The following is a 27,408-nucleotide window of genomic DNA, read 5'->3' on the forward strand; positions in this document are numbered from 1 at the left end:
ACACTTCCAATAATAGAGTCGTATTTCAGCTTAGATTATTATTTTAGTAGTTCCATTCCTTTTGCCTTGTAAATCACGTGGTCACATTACACAGCCCAATGTTAATTCATATATAAAGTTATTTGAAATTAAATAGGCCAAAAACATTTGAAATCATACTGACATTTTCATACATCCATACTATTTTCCAACTTCAAAAGTATTTTAAACACAATGGTCTCATTTTGGTTACTAGACAAATCTAGCCTTGTTGTAGTGTGGATGTTAAGAATTTCTTAGCCATAAAAAAGAATGAGATAATGTCCTTTGCAGCAATAGGGATGGAGCTGGAGGCCATTATCCTAAGAGAACTAATGCAAGAATAGAAAACTAAACGCCACGTGATCTCACTTATATGTGGGAGCTAAACACTGAGTACACATGCACACAAAGAAAGAAACAACAGACATTGGGGCCTATTTAAAGATGGAGGGTAGGACAGGGTTTTTCGTAGGGACAGGGTTTTTCCATGTTGCCAGGAAAGGCAAGGATTGAAAAACTACCTATTGGGAACTATGCTTATTACCTGGGTGATGAAATAATATGTACAGCAAACCCCCATGACATGCAGTTTATCTATAAAGTCAAGGTGCACATGTACCCCTGAAGCTAAAATAAAAGTTAAAAAAATAATTTTTTCCATATTTTATATATTCTGTAAAGAGTGTGGATTTGAGTTATATAGTTTCCCAGCCTGTCCAGGCCCAGGTGACGTTCTTTGTTCATTGCTTAATAAGAAAATAAAGGTGAAACTATTACCATATGTAGTAAAGTGATTCATAGGAATGAATTACTGCCATTCTCAAGTCTATTTTTATCTGTATTAGCTTTTTCTTTATGGTGTTGGAAAGTCTGAAAACCGTAATTAGTAACCAGTACTTTAAAAAGATATCTATAGATTTTGTACTCATTTACATTTGCAATTACTTTATTATCCTGGACTTTCAGACTTGAACATGAGCAAAATTGTGTTAACTAAGACAGCATTAGTTTATTTATTCAATGAATAAAAATCCAACTTGAGTCACCATGGGAATACCCGTGATTGACTTGCCTATTTGGCTGCATTTCACTCTCACACATTGTGATGGGATAAAAACACTATATTTTCTAAACTGAATTTTCAAAAAGGCACTAAGGATGACTGAGCAAAGCATTCTGTTATCAATAGCGCTGTACTCAGATACCAGCATGTGAAATCTACATTTATGTCTGCAATTTTGGAGAACTAAGAACCATATGGTATCTTGGTTTTATACTTCCTGAATCAGCTTAATTGCATCTGCATACCAATTAAACTTGAATAAATATGTTTGAGTGCTTTTTAGTTGTTGATATTTTGTTATAAAGCTTTTACTCCAATTTGACTAAAAGCATTTTTAACTGCACTTGGTTTATAAATGGGTTATCATTTTATATTAATACACATCATATACCATGTTATTTCTTTTTATGATAAAAGCACTGTTTGGCGTATCCATATTTCTTAGCAAGTGTTAAGTAAAAGTGATATAGAAAGTATCTAATCCATCTGTGAATCAAGTTAAATTATATATATTTATGTATATATTTATATATGTATACATATATTATTGTTATTGTTGCTGTTAATTTCTATAATGCAATCTAGAACATGAATGAACTTTTAACTTGTTGACACTGTTTCTAGAGCATTTTGAGTGGTTAAATAAATGTAAGTATAAATATAGAACTAAACTTGAGGCTTATATACATTGAAATAATTGATGTTTCAGATGCTGCTCATCTCATCTTACCCAAATTACTGTACCAGCAGACTTTGGTTACAAATCACTGAATACTATTGGTTAAAGAAAGTCATATACATATACCTGTCCTCATTAGGTTACTATAGAGGCTGCAATCCTTATGAGCTTTTTGGTTAAGACTCTTTAAAGGAGTTGCATCATTTATGGAGGACCTTTATTGGTCACTGTATTTCACAAGAGTCAGATTAAGGTCCATTACTCTGTTCAATCTACTCTTAGATCCGTTTGATGCTGATGAGAGTTTTCTATCCAGGGTAAAGGGATAGGTGAGTACTAAGTGATCAAAGTCACATCAAAGCATTTGGTATAAGGAAACAAAATGATTGTGATACTGCATTAATGGAAGGTTGCTTTCTCATGCTTTGAAAATAAACGGCTTTGCTTTACCTGAATATTTATTTCCAGTATATTTCTTCCTTGCAATCTACTACATGAAACAGAGGGGGACCGTTATCTAGTGATAACATGTTTTTCTAGTTACATTATATGTTAAGCAAACTCCTTGGTTATTCATATTTCTAATAGAAACGCTAATATTTCATGGTATTTTGTGATTTAACACCATCCCCGATCCCATGCACCATTTTGAATGATTATGTGGCATTGTATACCACTAAGTATTCTATTAAATAGAATTTATAATATTCAAGTTAAGTATATTTTATTTTTTATTTGTATTTTTATTATACATGTTTTTAAATTGTTATGGATACCTAACAGTTGCACATATTTATGGGGTACATGTGATATTTTGATACAAGCATATAGCATGCAATGATCAAATCAGGATAATTGGAAAAATATCAGGATAATTAGGATATCCATAATATTAAAGATCTATCATTTCATGTTAAGAACATTACAGTTCCACTCTTCTAGTAATTTTAAAATATACAATAAAATGTTTTTAACTGTAGTCACCTTATTGTGCTATTGAACATTAGATCTTATTCCTTATATCTAACTGCATTTTTGTACTCATCGAGCAATCCCTCTTTATCTCTGCCTCCTTATGGTTGAATAATATTCCATTGTGTATATGGATCACATTTTCTCTATCCATTCATATGTTGATGGACACTTAGGTTGATTCCATATCTTGGCTCTTGTGAATAGGGCTGCAGTAAGCATGGAAATGTATATCTCTTTTCGTTGTATTGATTTCCTTTCTTTTGGATGTACACCCAGCAGTGGGATTGCTGGGTCACATGGTAGCTCTTTTTTTAGTTTTTTGAGAAACCTCCATAATATTCTCCACAGTAGCTATATTAATTTACATTCCCACTGTGTATAAGGGTTCCCCTTTCTCCACATCCTCACCAGCATCAGTTATTTCCTGTCTTTAGGATAAAAACCATTTTAACTGGGATGAGATGATATCTCATTGTATTTTTGATTTGCATTTCTCTTATTAGTGATGTTGAGCAATTTTCATATACCAGTAGGCCATTTTAATGTCTTTTTCTGAGAAATGTCTGTTCATTTGCTGATTTTTATTGTATTATTTTTCTTATTACATTTTTGCTATTGATTTATTTGAGTTCCTTATGTATTCTGATTATTAGTCCCTTGTCATATGGGTAGTTTGCAAATATATTCTCCCACTATGTGGGTTGTCCCTTCACTTTGTTGATTATTTTCTTTGCTATGCACAAGCAAGCTTTTTTAGTTGACGTGATATCTTTTGTACATTTTTGCTTTATTTGCCAGTGCTTTTGTGATCTTACTCAAGAAATATTTGCCCAGACACATGTCCTGGATTGTTTCCCCAATGTTTTATTTTAGTAGTTTTATAGTTTCAGGTATTAGGTTTGTCTTCAGTCTACTTTGAATTGATTTTTTTTTTTTTTTTTGAGACAGGGGCTTGTTCTGTCACTTAGGCTGGAGTACAGTGGTGCAATCATGGCTCACTGCAACCTCAGCCTCCTGGGCTTAAGCCATCCTCCCATCTTAGCTTCTGGAGTAGCTGGGACCACAGGCATGTGCCACCATGCCTGCCTAATTTTTGTATTTTTCATAGAGACAGGGTTTTTCCATGTTGCCAGGCTGGTCTTGAACTGCTGAGCTCAAGCAATCTGCCCACCTTGGCCTCCCAAAATGCTGGGATTACAGGCATGAGCCACTGTGCCTGGCCTTGAGTTGATTTTTGTATATGGAGAGAGATATGGGTCTAGTTTTATTCTTCTGCATATGGATATCCAGTTTTCCCAGCACCATTTATTGAAGAGACAGACTGTCCTTTCCCCAAGGTATATCCTTGGCAACTTTGTCAAAAATGAGTTTACTCTAGATGTATGGATTTGTTTCTGGGTTCTCTATTCTGTTCAATTGGTCTACATGTTTGTTTTTATGCTAGTATCATGCTGTTTTGGGGGTTATTGTAGCTCTTGTTTCAAAGTTATTAATTTGAAGTCAGGTAATGCAATTGCTCCAGTTTTGTTCTCTTTGCTCAGAATTGCTTTGGCTATTCTGGGTTGTTTGTGGTTCAATATAAATTTTAATTTTTTTCTATTTTTGTGAAGAATGTCATTGGTGTTTTGATACAGATTGCCTTGAATCTGTAGAATTCTTCAAGTAATATGGGCATTTTAACAATATTGATTCTTCTAATTCATGAACATGGAATATCTTTCCATTTTGTGCATATCTTCTTCAATTTCTTTCATCAATGTTTTATAGTTTCCATTGTAGATATCTTTCACTTGTAAAGTTTACTTGTAGGTATTTAATTTTACTTCTAGTTATTGTAAATGGGATTACTTTCTTAGTTTCTTTTTCAAATTGTTCACTGTTGGTGAATAGAAATGGTACTGATTTTTGTATGTTGTTTTTGTATCCTGTAACTTTACTGAATTTGTCTGTGAGTTATAATAGTTTTCTGGTTAAGTCTTTCAGTTTTTCTAAATATAAGATCATATTATCTGCAATCAAAGATAAGTTGACTTCTTCCTTTCCAATATGGTTGCCCTTTATTTATTCAGCTTGTCTAATTGCTCTGGCTAGGGTTTCCAGTACTATATTTAATAAAAGTGATGAAAGCATACATCCTTGTCTTTTCTATATTATAGAGGAAGGGCTTTTAGTTTTTTCCCATTTAATACATAGCTAGTTGTGGATTTGTCATATATGGCCTTTTATCATGTTGAGGTATGTTCCTTTCACACTGTTGAGAGCTTTTATCATGAAGGGATGTTGAATTATATTAAATGATTTTTTTGGCACTTATTGAAATGATCATGTGTTTTTGTCCTTCATTCTGTTGATGTGATTTATTGCCTTTATTGAGTTGAGTATATTGAAGCATCCTTGCATTCCTGAGATGAATCCCACTTGATCATGATGAATGATCTATTTAATGTGTTCTGAAATTCAGTTTGCCAGTATTTTCTTGAGGATTTCTGTATCTATGTTCACTAGAGATATCGGCCTGCATTTTTCTTTTTTTGTCATGTCATTGTCTGGTTTTGGTATTGGGGTAATACTGGCCCCATGGAATGAGTTTGGAAATAGCCTCTCCTCCTCAACTTTTTTGGAATAGTTTAAACAGTTTATATTTGTTCTTCTTTAAATGTTTGGTAGAAGTTAGCAGTAAAGCTATCAGGTCCTGGGCTTTTTTTCATTGGGAGACTTCCTAGTACTGTTTCTCTTTCACTACCTGTTATTGTATACATTTTAGAAATATTTTGCAATTTTATTGTTTGTAAAAGAAAGTGAAGCAGACTATGATTTCACATAAGGTGACAATTTCAATAAAGCAGAAGAACAGTTTAGTTCATTAAAAATTTTATAGAATTATTTGGATAGTTTGTGCCACTTACACAGTTTATTGATGGGGATGCTTTTTTATAAAAATTATTTTTCATAAAGGTTAATATAACATAAATAAAAAAATGACTTGACTCACAACTTAAAATGTGATTTCTTATGCAAAGTGAAATTTTGAAGCTTTAAATAATTTAATTTTACTGAACATTTGTAACAGATACATTTTCTCAGTCTTGGACAGGGCTAGTGTTGGCTTAGAAAAATTCATACACTTAACATTCTATATTTATTTTGCATTTTCCTTTATGCCTAATGCAGATCTCCCATGTAGTAGTAGAATTTTAATAAAGTTTGTTAAGTCATTAACTTATAAACAGATTTTACATTCTTTGGAAATATCACTGTTCTTTGGAAACTTCACCCTGTGGCCTGTCTTCATGACTTGATTTCTTAAACTGCTACAAAGAGGTGTTCTTTCTCTGTCTGCATGGCCTCAAGTGAATTAATCATTGCAGAATGGAGAGAGACATTTTGAAGAAAAATAATGTAGTGTGATTAGACACATTTGCCTCAGGTTGCTGCAGCCAGAGTGTGTTGTGGTGGTAATTTACTAAATGGTACCCTGGTGGTATGAATGAGTTTTTAGGTTTTATGACTGCTTTACTTTTTTCCAAGAAGCGATTTACACATAGGACTTTGCTACTGCTCCTAAAAGAAGCAATAGAATCATTGATCTGAAATTCAAAAAAGCATCACCTTGGGTTCTTACATTAATAATTAAAAAAAAACCCTACAAAATAGGGTCAGCCAAAATCAGAAGCATTTAATGCTATAAAATTATTATTTAGAAGTAAAATGTATAAGTTACTTTATAGTGATATAGTAAATATTGCTATTTTAAATAGCCAATGATTGAAACTACCTACATGTTTTATAATAGGAGAAACCTTAAGTAATTTGTGGTAACTCCTTTTAAGAAATCCTATCTGTTAAAACTTTCATGAAGAGTTGATAATATGTATGAAATTCTTTAGCAGGATACAACATTGCATAGGCACTTTATCTCGGTGACTCCTCACTGTTCTGCATTATTTCCATGTTACATGAGTCTCATCAGAGTTTTCACAAAGCCATTCAAGATGAGGACATAGTTCTGATAAGAACATGTTTCATTCAACATAATGCCATGTAAAGGATTCCTGCATTTAAAAATAAACTAACATAGTAGATTCATGAGATTAGACGTTTTCCATTTTTTATATTCTTCATGTCCCCCAAAATTTCCAACTTTGATATTAGAAATGAATTTATTTTTAAAGAGTCTATTTTAGGAACATTTTGCTTTAAATATGAAAAAGAAATTACTTACAAGTAAATATTTAATCTAATTTGAAACTTTATGTATTTATGTTTCATTTTTCTATTCCATCCTGACTTTTCCATTGTGATTGTGATTTTGAGTAGTATTTCTTCTCCCAGTTAAAACAAATAGCAAAACAACAAACCAACAACTTTAAACAAACAAAAACCAACTGAACAACAACAAAAAAAACCCTGGGCATTTTTTTATTCTTTTCTTTCTCTCATCCCTCTATCAATAAACAATTATTACTAGTGTTACCCACAAGATTACCAAGTTTGTTATCTTGTTTATCTGTACCATGCTATTTAAGCGAGAATGTCGTTATCTCTCCTTTGGATTATTGCAATAGAATCCTAACTGGGTGGCTAGTTTTGGCAATCAATCCTGTACAAAGAGGCTATCTCTCTTAATTTAGCTCCCTACAAGGATCTGGACCTCTAAGTTCCTGACACTTCATCTCAAATAGTTATTCCCTTTACTCACACTGCTACTTGGAATGATCAGGCCTGCCCCAGGGAGTTTGCACTTGATTCTGCCTCTGCTGGAAGTGTTCTTCTCACTCTTCTTCATTCAGCTCAAATATCACCACCTCCATACTTGTCTTCTTCATTATTTATCTCATTACAGTAATTATTTTTGTAAGACATACATCACTGTTAAAGATCATCTAATATGCTTATTTGTTTTGTTTATATTCTGTCTCCCTCATTGGAGTAGATACTCCTCCAGAAAAGGGACTAGCCCCTCTAATTCCCTTCTGAATCCTCTGTGCCTGGAGGAGAATATGTTTCCTGTTTTTGAATTATTTGAGAATTCACTTAGTATTTTGTGCTAGAAGAGTGGTATTCAGACTGTAGTATAATAATCAGGGTGTAAAGGACACCCCTGCCCTACATAGGCATGGATACCTTTTAGATAACTAATTTCTCAATTCTCAATTTTTATTTGTGATTTTCCATACAAATTACTTGTTTGAGAAGCTTCTGAGTTTTGTCAGTCATCTTCCTCATGTTTCTTTCACAATCTCCCACTTTACAAAAAAACAAGCAAATTTATGAATTCAGATTCACTTGTGAATCTGTTTAGGATGCATTGTTCAGTTTCTAAAAACCTCTAGTGTATCAACCAAGGGATAAATTACTCAGGGAGTCTTTTGAGGGCTTCCTAAATAAATATTGGAAGGTGCAGTGCCCTGTTTCCTAGAGGCAATATTCTGGTGAGCCATTCTCCCCTTTCCTTCCTCCTCTCCTCCTCTCTCCCTTTGGATTCCAGAAGTGAGAAAGTAAGAATGTTGCTGTGGGGTATTAACAGGTTTACTTGATGCTTTCTTCTGAAGAAGAATTTTGACTGGATGATTTGTTTGACAAAGAGGATTGCTTTGCCAAGTGCATTGTGACACACATTTGCATATATTTTTCTTAAATCAAATAAGCTAAATATGTGGCTTGACAGTATTGATGAAAATATATTTTAAGCCCACTTAGAGCATATAACAGTCAGAAAAATATGTCCTTTTACCTTATAGGAAATTTGTTAATGGTTAACTTTTAGGTCTTCTAGAGATTATGTAGATTTTCAAAGTTATTTTAGTAAAAAGATAATTTGAAATTATTGTGCTAGACAATGTGAGCAACATCAAATTGTTCAAAATATCTCTGTATAAAGTACACTTGATATAGAAGAAAGTGAAAAAGAGAGTTCATCTTTCACATGGAATATAAGAGACCACTATCTTTCCTCATTTCCAGAGTATCTGTACACTCCTTTACCCTAATAAATTTTACAGGGATAGTATCTCTTTATTCAAATTTGTACAATCTTAATTTGTAGCTCACATAGATGCAAATAAGTTTATTAAGAAAACACAGTTCTGTAGAGGGTGCTGATTCAGTAGTTTTTCACAGTATTCAGTCAAGAATTTGATGTCTTAAACTCTTGACTAAATTAAAAAGGTTAAAACACTTTACCTAATTTTGTAATAAAAATAATGACATTTATCCTTTGCTTCCCTTTATGTTGAGCAGAGGTCTAAGCCCTCAACTTCTTTAGTCCTTATAATAGTTAAATTTCTTATGGTAGGTGCTATGTATGACTCAATTTCACACATTGTGAAATTGAAGCTCAAAGGGAGATTAAAATACTGTAGATTGCCCAAAGTTAGTGAGAGCAGAAACCAAAATCCAAACCTAGATAATATGTCTCCAGAATTTTTTATTAATACACATTAGGTATACATATTTTTAGGGTACATGTGATATTGGATATATTTATATAATCAAATCTGGGTAATTGGAATACTCATTATCTTAAATATTTATCTTTATTTTTAACTCCTGGTACATTTGAATTATTCTCTTCTAGCTATTTTGAAATGTATATTCCATTACCATTAACTGTAGTCTGGAATGTTAACCCATATATTATACAGGACCAAACCAGAATGCTATACTAAGATGTGCAGAAGAAAGTTAAAATAATGTTTTGAGCAACATTGACCCTCATCAGTAATTATTTTTTATATTACCGAACATTTATATATAGTGTATACTATATGCTAGGAAATATATACATAGGATTCCAATGCCAGTATGTGGTTTTTCTACAAACAAAGCAAATAGGGTCTCTTTTAGGTTTTCCTTCCAGTTTCTGGGTACCCTTATGTTTGTTGTATGATATTCTTTCTCCACTCTGTCTAAGCTAGGATGTCTGTTTCTTTCTTTGAATATTTTATTTTGAATCACAAAATGTTCTCAGATCCTACATAAGTACTTGTTTAGTATTCAATTCTGAATATGCAACTGTTAGCCTGAGGAAATCTGTAGGACGGTACAACTGTCTCTCTCTCTCTCGCTCGCTTGTTTTTTGTTGAAATTGTTGCTAGTGGCTGCATTTTTTTCCCTTGTGGAATTAATATTTTCTGTATTTCCTGTGAACTATAGTGATTGGAAAGTCGCTTAAAACTTTTCTTGATTACCTAACAGTGGATCTGTCATTGGAATACTAATTTGGAATACTAAGCCACTTCCAATGAAACATTCCTAGAGCAGCAATAGCATTCAGAATATTATTTTGCAATATTATATGATGTTATTGTTACTGTTGTATATGTAATATCAGGATATCTTTCTTGTGCATTCATCATTGTTATAATTTCCGAATTTGTCTTTAGCATCAGCAAGATCTAGATTAAAATTTAGATTTGCCTTTACTTTTCTGAACCCAAATTTATTTATCTGATAGGAATAATTATATTCCTTAAAAATAATTTTTATTTCAAAGTCATAAAAAATAAAACAATATTCAATTACAAGAGATATCAGGTGCTTACAGAGCAAGAGTGTTTTTACTTGATTGAAATAAGGACATATCTCTGGCAGTGAGAGTCTCTGCTTTTATTTGATTGGATTAGATTTAATTCTATTATCAGGAATACTGTGTTCTATAAATGTTAGTGCAGCTACTATTTGCATGTTTCTGAGTGAAGTACTTAACTAGTTTAGGTTTCCATTTATTATCCTCAAAAAACAAGTTCATTTTCCAAATATAAAATTCAATACAATAGTTGGTCGCCAAGGCAGAACTACCTAAATGTTCCAAGATGCAAAATCCCCACTTAGTGGCCACTCAAGTCGGTCACATCACCCTTGCTACTGGGCACAGCTGAAAAGGCCCTTGTGCCATAAACACAAGTCCTTTTCTCATGAATGCTTTCTTACCTATTATTCTGTCAAATTAGCAATATATTAGTATAAACCCAATATAGTTTAGTCATTCCTGATAGTGATATTTGATGCAGTCCCATAGTCTCAAAGAAGACAATTTACTGAATTTATTAACAAAGTTTAAAGGGTTTTCTTAAGAAAGGAAAGAAATGAGCTAAATTTGTTGTATCTCCTTTATTATAATCTTCATTATGTAACTCCTTTTAAAAAAACTTTTAAAGTCAAAGAACAATATAGGCAATATGCTTTAATATATTTAGTAAAGTCTACTTTGAAATAAAATTTATGAATTTAGGTGAATTTGTTAATTATTGGTATAATATTTAACATTGCCACCAATTTAAAACTTATTTCTCCATAACTTGAAACAATTTCAATCTGACACTCTATTAGAATGTTATATTATGTAAATATGTTAATTATCAGACATACTTCCTTGGTTCTAAAACCTATATCCCTGTTCTAACTCATGAATTACAAACCAAAACATTAAGTAATAGCAGAAATGTAAGAAAATAGGTATATGATTTGGTTAAGCCCATTGATTACATTAGCAATTAAAGTAAAAGAGGAAGGCAAACTTGTCATCACATTTCTAATTTTATCATATACCAGACATACTTTGACTGTCTTTACTATCATTTTGCTCTTTTTTTCCTCTCTTTTTCTGTAACACACTACATTTATGTGTTAGTGGTAATGGCTTATAACACATTATTTTTCCCTTCATATCTATGGAATATTGATTCTAGTTTGTTGTTAACTTTGAACTAGAAAAAATGATATTCAGATATATATGAGTATATATGTGTGTATGTATATTTGTATGTGTACTAAATTTCACAGACTGCATGCATATGTTTTAATAAATCAGAGGGGCTCACATAATTCATCTAATCAGTTGTCTAATCTTAATAATAGAGAAACAGAACCCAAGAGAAATTATATCCACAAATATATTGTGAAAGTGTTATTAATGAATGTGATCATTATATGTTGAGTTCAAAGACAGCTCTTTTAAAAAAGCCAAACCCAAGATTCTGTTTTTCACATGATTGTAACAGAATTAGTACACAATGCCAATACATGACTGAATGGAAATCAGCATATTCCTTAACATGCTGCAGTCAGCATTATATAGGAGACACCTATAACAGCACTTACTTAAAAAAAAAGCTGCAATTGTTTGTGGATATACTCATATTTTTTTTTTCCTTTCACCAGACCAATGCTGACTTTCAGTTCTATTGATCTAACATTTGTGTTTGAACTAGAACATGCACTGAAAATGTTGGATTCCATATTACTGCCTATACTGATTTTTATTGTCAGGTATCTGTATTACTGACTCTACACACACAGACACAGAAATAATTATAAATGTCCAATGTAGCCACCTTTTAATTTACTATCCTAACATGTATTCCGATTAGTACTTTAAAATTCTTTTTCTCAGACTTTGGTATTCATCCTATGTTGATATAAGATAGTTTTTTCATTTTCTTCTTTACGTTCGTATCTGTTACTATTAGCTGCTGTATGGAGTATGTTTAATACAATAAAAAATAAAGTGATACCTAAAATTTATAATCAGAATAAAATGTTACCATCTTTATACATCTTTTACACTAATATGTTTTCTACAAAGCAGTACAGTTTTATTTTAGACATATGTTCATGATGTTTCAAAAACAACAAGAAACTATCAGAAAAATGAAAAATAAATTTGAATTGATATATATATGAGTGTGAATCCCTTTAAAAATATAGATCCTATACATATTTATAAGAGAAAAACTTTAGAAACTCTGATTTTTATTATTCTGTTGTTTCAAGCTTTCAAGTTGAATCGAGTTTTTCTTTGATCTAAAAGGCAATTTATTTTTATCAGATACTAATTGTTTTAAAAAGATTTAATTTGTTAATATACTTTAAGGATTTTGTGATATTTTTAATAATTAAATGCCCAATAAGAGTTAGAATAAAAAATTAACTTTACCGTCAAAAAGGAAGATCTCCTGCACCCTCTGCTGCTATGTAAATGAAACTGCAGGTTATTTATTATAAACTTATTTTTATTTTATAAAATAAAAAAAGAAAATAAAAAATTTAAGAAGATTTTTTAAAGATCTTTTCAAAGATTTTTTAAATTTAAGAAAATAAAAAATTTAAAGAAAATAAAAAATTTAAGGCAAATCCAGTCATTTTAATATACAGTAAACAAACGAACCATTATAGATGTCTCAAAAGAACATGCATCTCAGATATATAGTTTACTTAAAAATAAGTAAAATATAAACTGACAAACTAGCTTTGAAAGGAAGAGGTATAATGGCATCAATTTGTTATTAATGAGAAAAAGTCATAATGCTACATACTTCTAAATCATCATATTACTTAAATTTATTAACCAACATACAAAAATCTATTGTGGTTTATTGTTTGTAATATGGAAATATTAAACATTAAAAAGATTGTGAAAAACCTGGAGTGAATTATTTGTGTCTTATGGCTCACTGCCATTTTAGATGAATTATTGTGTTGTTAAAATAAATTGACTTTTTTTCTAAGAGGCAGGAAATAGCTTGCAATAGTGAAACCAGATAGAATCCGAGCTGTTACAAAAGTTGATCCCAATTTATAAACAGATACCACTTGGATTGAAAATCTATATAAAGTATAAATTTTACTATTAAAATGTAGTTTAATAAAAAATAGTCTTGCCGGGCGCAGTGGCTCATGCCTGTAATCCCAGCTCTTAGGGAGGCAGAGGCAGGAGGATAGCTTGAGCCTAGGATTTGAGACCTGCCTGGGCAATATAGCGAGACCCCGTTCTCCATAAAAAGGAAAAAAAATACAAAGTCTTTATATTATTTTAAGGATTCTTAGCACTTCCATATGTTTTATTTATTTAAATATTTTATATTAAACTATAAAAATTGAAGCAGTTATTAAAACACTAGGAATTGATGTTTGTATTTTGTCGAACTTGGTGAAATTATTTTTAGAAAAGGCATTTTCTGATATGTCCAATCTCCTATTCCTTCCCAGTGGAAACCACTGTTAATAATTTTTGTGTATCTTCCAAGTTGCTTTTAAGACATTTACATGCGTATTTCTATATCCTTCCATATTTTGTAGTTTTTAAATAGGCTATATATCTCATACTCCCTTATTTTGATTTTTAAAGTCTTAAATATAAAAGTAATTCATGAATTCATTCTGATTGTTGAAGCATCGTATTACATATAACACCATGTCCCCGTTGACGACAACCTCAATTCAAAGGCCCTCTTTAAGGGTAATCACTGTTAATGCTTTGAAGTACATCCTTCAAGATTTTTTTCAGGAAGAAAAAAAATCATACACACATATGATTCTGCAGAGTATTTAATATTATACATACTATTTGATAATAAATTTTGAATTGACATAAAATGTATTCCGAATAGTATATCACTTACCAATTTGATTTTATTAACACAATGCCTTGGAAATTTTTCCTTTGTTTGTTCATATCTTTGACCTTATATGTTTAGCTCTTATATATTATGCTGTGGAATAAATAGACCATTTTTAGAATTTTAAAAATTCTCATATTAATGAACATTTATATTATTTTATATTTTCACTACAATAAGCCTGAGTATCCCTGTACATGCTTCTTTGAGCAGATCTGTGAGTATTATTCTAGGGTAAATGCTGAGAAGTAGAATTATTTTTTCATTTTATACTTTGATAAATAATTTTAATTTTTAAATGACTTTAACAATTTGGATTTCTTTGTAAATGTCTGTCCATATATACTACTTTTTCACCAAACCTGATATTATTAAGTTTTAAAAAGTTATAAATGAAAAATATTGTATTTATTTCTGGTTGATAATGGAGTTGAATATCTGCTCGTAATGTTGATTAGTGATTTATATTTCCTTTTCTATAAATTTCCTGTTACTATTCTTTGCTCCCTTTTATTCTTTGTGTTTTCTGTTTCTTACTGGCTCATAGGAGTTCTTTCTATTTCCCCGATTACTAATGAGTTTGAGTATTTTAAATATATATTCATTGGTGATTTGTATTTCTTCTTTCAGGAATTACTTGTTCTTATTCTTTGCTCACTTATTTTTGATTTTAGATTCTTTTTCTTATTGATTTATAGTTCTTTATATATTCCAGATATTAATTATCTGACTGGCATAGGATACCAAAGACCAGCCCCTGTCTTAATGTATCAATTAGTGCTCCAGAGCTTTCCCATGGGATCAGTCTGAAGCTAGTGTCCAGTTTTGACCACATCCTGGCTTAGCTTCTTATCCACATATCCCCAGTGTCCCCATCTTATTAGACTTTCTTTCTTTAATCAGCTTCTCATGTTTGAACAAGAATTCCTTACTCAGGCTCTGCTTCTAGGAAATCTATCCTGGACCTGTGATGACATTTTTTTTGAAATCAGTGTTTTAAAATCAAGCCAATTCTCCAATGGAAGATATAATTATAAAAAAAAACAACTGCTCTTTACTAATAAACATATATTTTAAGATGTGTGCTATCCTCTTTAAAGTTGTATTTTTGTTATACTGACATTGCCACCGCTCAACAAATTTATCAAATTCAGCTTTTGGAAATCATGTTCAGACTCTGAGACAGTCTTTGAATGTTCATAATATTGTCAGTTCTTTGCTCCCTGACTAAACTATTTTGTTGACAGTGAACAATTATTCAGTCATGTGCAGTCAAAGTGATCAATGTGGTCAAATATTTTGAAATTATTTGTAACAGACGGTTTTAAAAATGAGAAGTGTCTGTTCATATCCTTTGCCCACTTTTTGATGGGGTTGTTTTTTTTCTTGTAAATTTGTTTGAGTTGTAGATTCTGGATATTAGCCCTTTGCCAGATGAGTAGGATGCAAAAATTTTCTCCTATTCTGTAGGTTGCCGGTTCACTCTGATGGTGGCTTCTTTTGCTGTGCAGAAGCTCTTTAGTTTAATTAGACCCCATTTGTCAATTTTGGCTTTTGTTGCCATTGCTTTTGGTGCTTTAGACATGAAGTCCTTGCCCATGCCTATGTCCTGAATGGTAATGCCTAGGTTTTCTTCTAGGGTTTTTATGGTTTTAGGTCTAACGTTTAAGTCTTTAATCCATCTTGGATTAATTTTTGTATAAGGTGTAAGGAAGGCATCCAGTTTCAGCTTTCTACATATGGCTACCCAGTTTCCCCAGCACCATTTATTAAATAGGGAATCATTTCCCCATTGCTTGTTTTCCTCAGATTTGTCAAAGATCAGATAGTTGTAGATATGCGGCATTATTTCTGAGGGCTCTGTTCTGTTCCATTGATCTATATCTGTGTTTTGGTACCAGTACCATGCTGTTTTGGTTACTGTAGCCTTGTAGTATAGTTTGAAGTCAGGTAGCGTGATGCTTCCAGCTTTGTTCTTTTGGCTTAGGATTGACTTGGCAATGTGGGCTCTTTTTTGTTTCCATATGAACTTTAAAGTAGTTTTTTCCAATTCTGTGAAGAAAGTCAGTGGTAGCTTGATGGGGATGGCATTGGATCTATAAATTACCTTGGGCAGTATGGCCATTTTCACAATATTGATTCTTCCTACCCATGAGCATGGAATGTTCTTCCATTTGTTTGTATCCTCTTTTATTTCATTGAGAAGTAGTTTGTAGTTCTCCTTGAAGAGGTCCTTCACATCCCTTGTAAGTTGGATTCCTAGGTATTTTATTCTCTTTGAAGCAATTGTGAATGGGAGTTCACTCATGATTTGGCTCTCTGTTTGTCTGTTATTGGTGTATAAGAATGCTTGTGATTTTTGTACATTGATTTTATATCCTGAGACTTTGCTGAAGTTGCTTATCAGCTTAAGGAGATTTTGGGCTGAGACAGTGGGGTTTTCTAGATATATAATCATGTCATCTGCAAACAGGGACAGTTTGACTTCCTCTTTTCCTAATTGAATGCCCTTTATTTCCTTCTCCTGCCTGATTGCCCTGGCCAGAACTTCCAACACTATGTTGAATAGGAGTCGTGAGAGAGGGCATCCCTGTCTTGTGCCAGTTTTCAAAGGGAATGCTTCCAGTTTTTGCCCATTCAGTATGATATTGGCTGTGGGTTTGTCATAGATAGCTCTTATTATTTTGAGATACATCCCATCAACACCTAATTTATTGAGAGTTTTTAGCATGAAGGGTTGTTGAATTTTGTCAAAGGCCTTTTCTGCATCTATTGAGAAAATCATGTGGTTTTTGTCTTTGGTTCTGTTTATATGCTGGATTACATTTATTGATTTGCGTATATTGAACCAGCCTTGCATCCCAGGAATGAAGCCCACTTGATCATGGTGGATAAGCTTTTTGATGTGCTGCTGGATTCGGTTTGCCAGTATTTTATTGAGGATTTTTGTATCAATGTTCATCAAGGATATTGGTCTAAAATTCTCTTTTTTGGTTGTGTCTCTGCCAGGCTTTGGTGTCAGGATGATGCTGGCCTCATAAAATGAGTTAGGGAGGATCCCCTCTTTTCTATTGATTGGAATAGTTTCAGGAGGAATGGTACCAGTTCCTCCTTGTACCTCTGGTAGAATTCCACTGTGAATCCATCTGGTCCTGGACTCTTTTTGGTTGGTAAGCTATTGATTATTGCCACAATTTCAGCTCCTGTTATTGGTCTATTCAGAGATTCAACTTCTTCCTGGTTTAGTCTTGGGAGGGTGTATGTGTCGAGGAATTTATCCATTTCTTCTAGATTTTCTAGTTTATTTATGTAGGGGTGTTTGTAGTATTATCTGATGTTAGTTTGTATTTCTGTGGGATCGGTGGTGATATCCCCTTTATCATTTTTTCTTGCGTCTATTTGATTCTTCTCTCTTTTCTTCTTTATTAGTCTTGCTAGTGGTCTATCAATTTTGTTGATCCTTTCAAAAAACCAGCTCCTGGATTCATTAATTTTTTGAAGGGTTTTTTGTGTCTCTATTTCCTTCAGTTCTGCTCTGATTTTAGTTATTTCTTGCCTTCTGCTAGCTTTTGAATGTGTTTGCTCTTGCTTTTCTGGTTCTTTTAATTGTGATGTTAGGGTGTCAATTTTGGATCTTTCCTGCTTCCTCTTGTGGGCATTTAGTGCTATAAATTTCCCTCTACACACTGCTTTGAATGTGTCCCAGAGATTCTGGTATGTTGTGTCTTTGTTCTCATTGGTTTCAAAGAACATCTTTATTTCTGCCTTCATTTCGTTATGTACCCAGTAGTCATTCAGGAGCAGGTTGAATTTAAACCCAGCTGTTCTTGTATCAGAGTCTGAATTCTTAACAGTTATGCATTCACTGTGTCTAAACCTTAGTACATGGAACCGTAAGATTATTTAAACATAAATATGCCTCTTATTATTTACTTAAGCCTGGGTCATATGCTTTTACACTTCTTTCTTCTTTTACCACTAACTTCTTTCTAAATCTGACCAAAGCCCATCTTTCTCTATTTCTCTTTTCTCTCTGTTTCTTCTGGTCATTAAAAACTAAGATTGTATCTGGCTGAGTATCAAGATTACGTATATAAATGTGTAACTTATGTCTTTCTAAATATATATCATCATCCCTTAATTAATTAATCCAAACGACTCATCTGCTTTCCTAAATCCTGCTAGAATAATTTCTTTCAAATGTGTTCTTCCCTTTTGTAGCTTTTCCCATTGTCATGCTACTTGCACACCACTCACCCTCTTTCTCTTTTTATCTGGGGGATTGATTTATACAAATCTAATCAGAGACAGTCTGTCTTTGCTTATATACCATGTTTTGTGTCAATTCATTTTTAGGAGTGACCCAAAGACTGACATTTCTTATATAAGCAATTATTTGTTTTGGTTATTATGTTTATTTGTTGAGAACAACTTAGTGTACTCAATATAGCTAAATTATATACAAATTTAATAAATTGTTAATTAAACATATCTAATCAATTATGTGATTTCTGGCTTTTTCTACCTTAGGCTGACAATCTCATTCTCTTTTCTGTGACTGATCATCCACTTGGTCCAGATTAGCCATCCTTTTAATGTGTCTCATATTCTCCTCACTGACCTTACTGGCAGAAGTGGCTTTCGTCATTGTTGTGGGAGTCATTTAGCTGTTAAAAGTGCCTCCATTATTTTCCCATTTATTTAAGGGGAAACAGCAAAACATTTTGGAAATGCATTTAGAGATAAACTGAAAAAGTGTTGAGATGTAGATAGCATGGTCTTTCTAGTAGAAAGAGCCTGGACTGCAAGAATCCTCACAAGTGTGAGCCCTGTTTAAATCTGGGTTAAATGATATAATTAGGTAAGACTGGGAAATTACTTCAAGCTGATATCCTACTTATTTTAGTAAAAAATGATCAATGTCCTTTGATATGTTTACATATTATTAATTTTCTGCCATCATTTTCTTAATGTTAAAATTATTACCTAGGAAATATCTGTTGTTTTTTTGGGGATCTTCTTTTATTTTCACCAAGTATAATGGAAGATTTTCTTTTTAGTGTGGTCATTAAGGCTCTACCAGGTTATTTTCTGAATGTTTTTCTGAGAAAGAATCTTGCTGGGACCAGATTTAACTTATGCAGCATTCCCCTAAACACTTCAAGTATTGATAATTTGTTTTCAAATGCCAATAAAAATATAAATTTAGGGACTTTGATTACAAGAGGTCAGACTACTGATCTCACATTATATACGTCTTTTCAGTATTATTTTATGTCATTTTTAATAGACTGGTTGGGACACATGTTTTGTTAGGTAGATGATTTTCATAACTATTCTAAGAGCTACACCACCATGTACCTCTTGTTTGAATATATTTCCTCAGAAAAGGCAGAGCTCTATACCTAATCTGTGCCAAGCAGTGTGTTAGTGTCTTTGTGATGTAGTATCTTCTCATTCTTAAAAAACTCTATAAAATAATTATTATTGATGTTCCAGTTTATAGTCTTAGTAAGTGGTAGTACTTGCATTTAAGTGCCAACCAACTGCATGTGTGCGTAAAAAGTAATTAAGAGAGACAAAAATACTTAGGATTATCTCATATATGAGACCAGGTGTCATGTCATTAGCTCTGACTCATAATGAAAAAATATGAGGGGTGTCCAAATTCTAGGAAAATATTTGAAAAGCAATGAGAAAGAAGAAAAGCGAAGGCAATTTTGCTTTCCTTTTACCTGTACAGACAGATAGACCTATTTAAGTGTATGGTAGTTAGCTTCCAAGATGATACAGCTCTGAAACCCTGCAGGACTGTTTTATGCTGTTGGTTAATGTATGCATTTGGAATCACAAAAGAAAGAGTATTTGTTTTTTGAGACAGGGTCTCGCTCTGTCACCCAGGCTGGAGTGCAATGGTGCTATTGTGGTTTACTGCAGCCTTGACCTCCAAGGCTCATGTGATCCTCCCACTTCAGCCTTCCAGGTAGCTGGGACAACAGGTGTGTGCCACCATGCCTAGTTAATTAATTTTTTTTTCTTTTTTTCTAAGAGATGGGTTCTCCCTATGTTGCTCAGGCTGGTCTCCAACCCCTGGGCTCAATTTATCCTCCTGCTTCAGCCTCCCGAAATGTTGGGATTGACAGGCATGAACCAGTGAACCCAGAGAATAATTTTTAAAATGTCTTAATTATGTAATATATTTTACTTTTAGTCCAACTTTAAGTAGGTAACATATTAATGATCCATATCCAAATTATGAATCATTTAACTAGAATTCATGTCTTCTTCAACCATATCAAATAAGAAATTTGACTCTAATTTTATTTAGAATAGATCCTCCTATAATGTGGTACTCTGTTCAGGGTAATGATTGTGTTTACTAAAGTTGGAGAGGTCATTGAATAAAGTACTGTACTTTCTGGAAGCCTTTTGTTAAATCCTGGTGCTAAAGAACAAAAGTACTGTTTCTTCAGGTTGCCATTGTAAATTTCTAAGAGATCAAACTGAGTTTTATTTCTAATAGGGTCTGTATACATTTGTGTAGTAGTATTGTCTTCAAGTTAATCTTATCTTTTGTTTATTTACATAGCATTAAAGTTATAATTAAAAAACACTTCTCTTATGTAACAAATTTGTTTTTTCAAAATAAAATAACGTTTATGGTAATAAAGACCCCTAGATAATGGATAGGTCTAGTTCAACCTTCATATTTTTAAGACCTATTATTATTAAAGTGACTATGACTTCTGAATTGAGAAATATTAGATAAGAATTGAGAAAAGATGTTTATTTTATCCAATTTGGAAATTTATAAAAATATATACAAGGTTTGCTAAGGGATTAAAGGTAACTGTTATAAAAACATTGTAGTAAAAAGAAATAAAATTAGCAGTTATGATGTTGTTACATTTATCTTTCATGAATAATTGAAGTTGCTATGATGACATATTGTTTCATTAAACTTATTCAGCATTATTTTTTCATGTTTTCAACTGTTTATTAGCAAATTTCAGATTATTGAACTTTTTACAGTTTGGAAGACTTTTAATAAATATGCATCTCTAAAAGTTGTAATTTAGCATAATTACCCTCAGGATTATAAGATTTATTCATGGCAGTGAGACAGAAAATATATTTATGTAGGTTTGAAATCCTGAAGTGTTGAAGCTAAAACTTCATTTTTTAAAATCTATGTATTCTATAGGTACAAATTGCGTATTTTATCAGGCACTGGGTATTAAAGCAAGGAGAAATGGTTTTTGGCATTAAGAAGCTTAAGACAAAATAGTAAATTGAGATAAATATACAGATGCTTACTATGTAAGCTAATACTTGAGGATATGTAAAGGAGGAGTACCAGGTCCAAAATGAGAGACAGTGGGAATGGGGTGTCAGGTAGGGAAGGAGTGTCAGGGATGGCAACTTGGAAGAGGCAATGTTATAATAGTAGGAGGCTTTTGCCATGGAGTTACAGGAAGGGCATCCCAAGCTGGTGGACCCAAATCTCCAAAGGTCTTGAAGGTGAAAGTGATTAGAATATGGCAGTCATGACCAAGTGCAGTGGCTCATGCCTGTACTCCCAACACTTTGGGACACCGAGGCAGGAGGATTGCTTGAGGCCAGGAGTTTGAGATCAGCCTGTGCAACATAGCAAGACTCTGTCTCTATGAAATTTTTTTTAAAGTTAATTGGGCATGATGCTGTATGCCTGTAGTCCCAGCTACTTGGGAGGCTGAGGTAGAAGGATGGCTTGAGCCCAGGAATTCGAGGATGTAGTTAACTATGTTTGCTACACTGCATTCTAGCCTGGGTGACAGAGCAAGACCTTGTCTCCAAAAACAAAACAAAACAAAACAAAACAAAAAGGAAGAAAGAAAAGGAAAAGGAAAGAAAGATAAGAAAATGGCAGTCATCAGTGAAAGCGGAGCATGAAGTGTGACGAGAGGACTAATGAATCTGGAGATGTAGACAGCATCCAAGCCTTAAAGAGCCTTCCTAAAGAATATGGATAATCTTGACCTATAGTCTATTTTCCTCTTATTTGGCTGAGAAACTCTCAAGGGAAATACAAGTTCATATTAAAAATAAAAGACATGTGAAGGATATTTACCTCTAGTAGATTTATATCTACTCCAGGTTATTCAATAATGTGCAGATATCTTTTAGTATCTATGATGTTTTTACTTAAAGAAACTAGGACAAACATATCACTGACCTAAATAGATTATTTGTGCCCAGTGGAAGTCTGGTGGTTTTCATTAAGTATTTAGGAGCAAGAGTGATTTTAAAATTGCTGCCAATGACTTTCTTTACAGAATTGGAAAAAACTACTTTAAAGTTCATATGGAACCAAAAAAGAGCCTGCATCGCCAAGTCAATCCTAAGCCAAAAGAACAAAGCTGGAGGCATCACACTACCTGACTTCAAACTATACTACAAGGCTACAGTAACCAAAACAGCATGGTACTGGTACCAAAACACAGATATAGATCAATGGAACAGAACAGAGCCCTCAGAAATAATGCCGCATATCTACAACTATCTGATCTTTGACAAATCTGAGAAAAACAAGCAATGGGGAAAGGATTCCCTATTTAATAAATGGTGCTGGGAAAACTGGCTAGCCACATGTAGAAAGCTGAAACTGGATCCCTTCCTTACACCTTATACAAAAATCAATTCAAGATGGATTAAAGACTTAAATGTTAGACCTAATACCATAAAAACCCTAGAAGAAAACCTAGGCATTACCATTCAGGACATAGGCATGCGCAAGGACTTCATGTCTAAAACACCAAAAACAATGGCAACAAAAGCCAAAATTGACAAATGGGATCTAATTAAACTAAAGAGCTTCTGCACAGCAAAAGAAACTACCATCAGAGTGAACAGGCAACCTACAAAATGGGAGAAAATTTTCGCAACCTACTCATCTGACAAAGGGCTAATATCCAGAATCTACAATGAACTCAAACAAATTTACAAGAGAAAACCAAACAACCCCATCAAAAAGTGGGCGAAGGACATGAACAGACACTTCTCGAAGACATTTATGCAGCCAAAAAACACATGAAAAAATGCTCACCATCACTGGCCATCAGAGAAATGCAAATCAAAACCACAATGAGATACCATCTCACACCAGTTAGAATGGCAATCATTAAAAAGTCAGGAAACAACAGATGCTGGAGAGGATGTGGAGAAATAGGAACACTTTTACACTGTTGGTGGAACTGTAAACTAGTTCAACCATTGTGGAAGTCAGTGTGGCGATTCCTCAGGGATCTAGAACTACAAATACCACTTGACCCAGCCATCCCATTACTGGGTATATACCCAAAGGACTGTAAATCATGCTGCTATAAAGACACATGCACACGTATGTTTATTGCGGCATTATTCACAACAGCAAAGACTTGGAACCAACCCAAATGTCCATCAATGATAGACTGGATTAAGAAAATGTGGCACATATACACCATGGAATACTATGCAGCCATAAAAAATGATGAGTTCATGTCCTTTGTAGGGACACGGATGAAATTGGAAATCATCATTCTCAGTAAACTATCACAAGAACAAAAAACCCAACACTGCATATTCTCACTCATAGATGGGAATTGAACAATGAGAACACATGGACACAGGAAGGGGAACATCACACTCTGGGGACTGTTGTGGGGTGGGGAGAGTGGGGAGGGATAGCTTTAGGAGATATACCTAATGCTAGATGACAAGTTAATGGGTGCAGCACAGCAGCATGGCACATGTATACATATGTAACTAACCTGCACATTGCGCACATGTACCCTAAAACTTAAAGTATAATAATAATAAAAAATAAAAAAAAATAAAATTGTTTAAAAATGTTTCTCATTAGTTGAATCCTTTGAATACTTGCTAAAGAGTTATGGGACTGACTCTTTCATTTACTGTTGTTGTTGGTGTTTTTTATTTTTTTTTTTGAGACAGAGTGTCACTCTGTCCACCCAGGCTGGAGTGCAGTGGCCTGATCTGGCTCACTGCAACCTCCGCTTCCTGGGTTCATGCCATTCTCCCGCCTCAGCCTCCCTAGTAGCTGGGACTACAGGCGCCCACCACCATGCCTGGATAATTTTTTGTATTTTTAGTAGAGACGGGGTTTCACCGTGTTAGCCAGGATGGTCTCAATCTCCTGACCTCGTGATCTGCCTGCCTTGGCTTCCCAAAGTGCTGGGATTACAGGCGTGAGCCACCGCGCCCGGCCTCATTTACTGTTAATGCTGATCCAAATGCAGGAAATACTTTAAAAATGGCCAATAAATATTTTAATATACATAAATTTGAGTATTTCAGTAATGATGGTTGACATCTTGACATTCATGCATTGAAGTCTGTAGGTTCACAACCAGCTGCAAATCATTATGGTTGATTATATTCTAATTAGAGCAAAATTCTTCAATAGGCATTGAATGGAAATAAATGTTGTATATAAGTGAAAAATATCGTGGCTGTAAGTGATGTTAGTTAAACCATTTTAAAGAATATAGTCATGAAAAAATGTATTATTCATTGTATACACTTTGGAAAATCTAAGCTGTGAGGAAAATCACACATTTTTATTTGTGAAAAATTGTAAGAGCTAAAATGTCTGTTTATGTTTTAGGTTTTCTTCAAGCAAAGCCTTACAAGAATACTGAAATGTTTTGGAGTGTTTCACATATAGTTTGATTTAAATTCAAATTCATATGGAGAAAAGGGAACTCTTGCACACTGTTGGTGGGGGTGTAAATTAGCACAGCCTCTATGGAACACAGTATGGAGGTTCCTCAAAAACTAAAGACAGAACTACCATATGATCCAGCAATCCTACTTCTGGGTATATAGCCAAACAATTGAAATCAGTATGTCAAAGAGATATCTGTACTCCTATGCTTATTGCATCATTATTCATGATAGCCAAGATATGTAACAAACCTAAGTGTACATCTGTGGATGAATGGATTAAGAAAATGTGGTTTATTTATATAATGAAATGCTATTCAGCCTAAAAAAGAAATTCTGTCACATGTCACAACATGGATGAACCTGGAGGACATTATGCTCAATGAAATAACCTAGACACAGAAAGACAAATATTGCATGATCTCAGTTATATATGGAATCTAAATAATTAAACTCATAGAAGTAGAAAGTAGAATGGCTACCAGGCCCCAGGATGGAAGGACCGGGGGCTGGGGTGTCGGGGCCAGGGGAATGGGGAAATAATGTTCAGAGGGTACAGAGTTTCAGTTAGACAGGAGAAATAAGTTTTAGAGGTTGATTCGACAGCATGGTGACTATAGTTAATAATAATGTACTGCATATTTCAAAATGGCTAAAAGAGTAGATTTTAAGTGCTGTCACTACAAAAAATGATATGTATATGAGGTGATAAGTATGTTAATTTGCTTATTTCATAATATAAAAATATCAAAACATCACGTTATACCTCATAAGTATATACAATTGTCATCTGTCAATTAAAAATAAAATCAATTTTTAAAATTAAATTCATTGACTGTAGTGAAAAATCATCCATCAAAAATCTTATAATACAAATATGTTAGATTTTATGTTGTTTGGAGAAAAATATTAAATACTTATGAATGCATATCTGAAAGCAAATATTTGTCATTTTTGTCACATACTTGTTCAAGGAAATGAAAGTATTTTACTTGATCAGTTCTCATATTTATCAGGATGATAAAATAGAGGATTTTAAATTTTGTATAGTATTTGTTAATTTTTAGTCACGTAGTTTTGGTTGTAAAGACTAAGAAATGAAACAGAGTCTGATTCAATTTACAAAGGGAGAGATCGTATTACAGTTGAAGGATTAAGCAAAACTCATAAACAAAACAGCAACCAAATCAGGTACAGTTTAAAAATCAGTGAAAAATGGCAGTCACTAGAATAGCAATATTTGCTGTACAAGTTTGAATCCTTGATGTAGAAACATAGCTGGGCCTTCATTCAGCAGTAGGAGTTCATGACTAATTACTTTAGTGAATGCAGTATGTATCATGCTGATTATGAGCTGACCCTGTAGGGTTTTTTATTCCTGCTTTACCAGGTGTTGGCTGAATGACATTATGCAAGTTGCTTTTCTGTTGTAAAATGTTCATAGTCTTATTACTTATTTCTAGAAATATAAGGTGTGAAAGAGATAATCTGTGGGAAAGTACCTGGTACGTAGCAGTTGATGAGTTGTAGCTGCCACATCTCCTCACTCGTGTCCTCCTCCTCCTTTATCTTCTCCATTGATACCCTGAATATACTGACATTAATATGGTTCATAAATGTTCTATGCTTCTGATTCTCTCAGTATGTATTGTCACTTCTCTCAAGGTTACCAACTGTCTTAGTTTTTACTCAAGTATTTTCTTCAACTGATACCTGTGGTTCTCTCATAAGTTTAACTTGTTTATAACCCTATGTTATATCCTTGTGATTTAGTTTCTTCTTCTAATGGCCTGCTTATCTCTCAGCTTCCCAAACCAAACTTGTCCTGGGGTGGGGGGAGGGGGGAGGGATGGCATAAGAGAATTACCTATTGTAAATGACGAGTTAATGGGTGCAGCACACCAACATGGCACATGAATACATATGTAACTAACTTGCTCATTGTCCACATGTACCTTAGAACTTAAAGCATAATTTAAAAAAAAAAAAGAGAAGAAAAAAAGTCTATAGCCATTGGCTTTTCTTTGAGTGCTGATTGTAGTGTCAGGCTATACCATTGTCTTGTTTGTGATTCTGTTGAGCTCACGTCAGTAACTTGTTGAGTCGTGTGGTGTAAAATGAAAATACTTCTAGTGGTCTCTGACAGGAGTCATGGTGGGGCATTTACCCAGACAGAAATTTTTATGTCTGTCACGTGCCTACTGCATCTAAATAAATAAACATAAAAAGTTAAGAATAAACAGTTTACCAAAATTATGGAACAGCTATAAGTAGGAAGTCTGGGTCTTAAATACCTGGTGTCTCCAAAGCCAACACTCTTGCATAAACTTTAAATATTTCTGTTAATCTTAAAATGTTTGCATCATTACAAAATATCAATACTAGCTATTGGGTCATTTTTACTACTTATAAATTCAAAAAATCTTTATTAGGTATCAGATTTTTGTTATTTATCGTCTTAGTATAAACTAAATTCTATTTTGTGTCTCGAAAAGCAATATTTTGTTTTAAAATGTATTATTTGTAGTTGAATTCTATTGACTTGTTGTTTTTGTTTTAACCTTTCT

General features: G+C 33.2%; 1 protein-coding gene across 38 annotated transcripts in view; it reads left to right on the forward strand.

Moving 5' to 3' along the window:
* CCSER1 (coiled-coil serine rich protein 1) overlaps positions 1 to 27,408 on the forward strand; it is a 1,477,902-nt gene that overhangs the window by 153,439 nt on the left and 1,297,055 nt on the right. The window lies entirely within an intron of this gene.

The sequence above is a fragment of the Homo sapiens genome, chromosome 4 (assembly GCF_000001405.40).
Source record: "Homo sapiens chromosome 4, GRCh38.p14 Primary Assembly".
Lineage (NCBI taxonomy): Eukaryota > Metazoa > Chordata > Mammalia > Primates > Hominidae > Homo > Homo sapiens.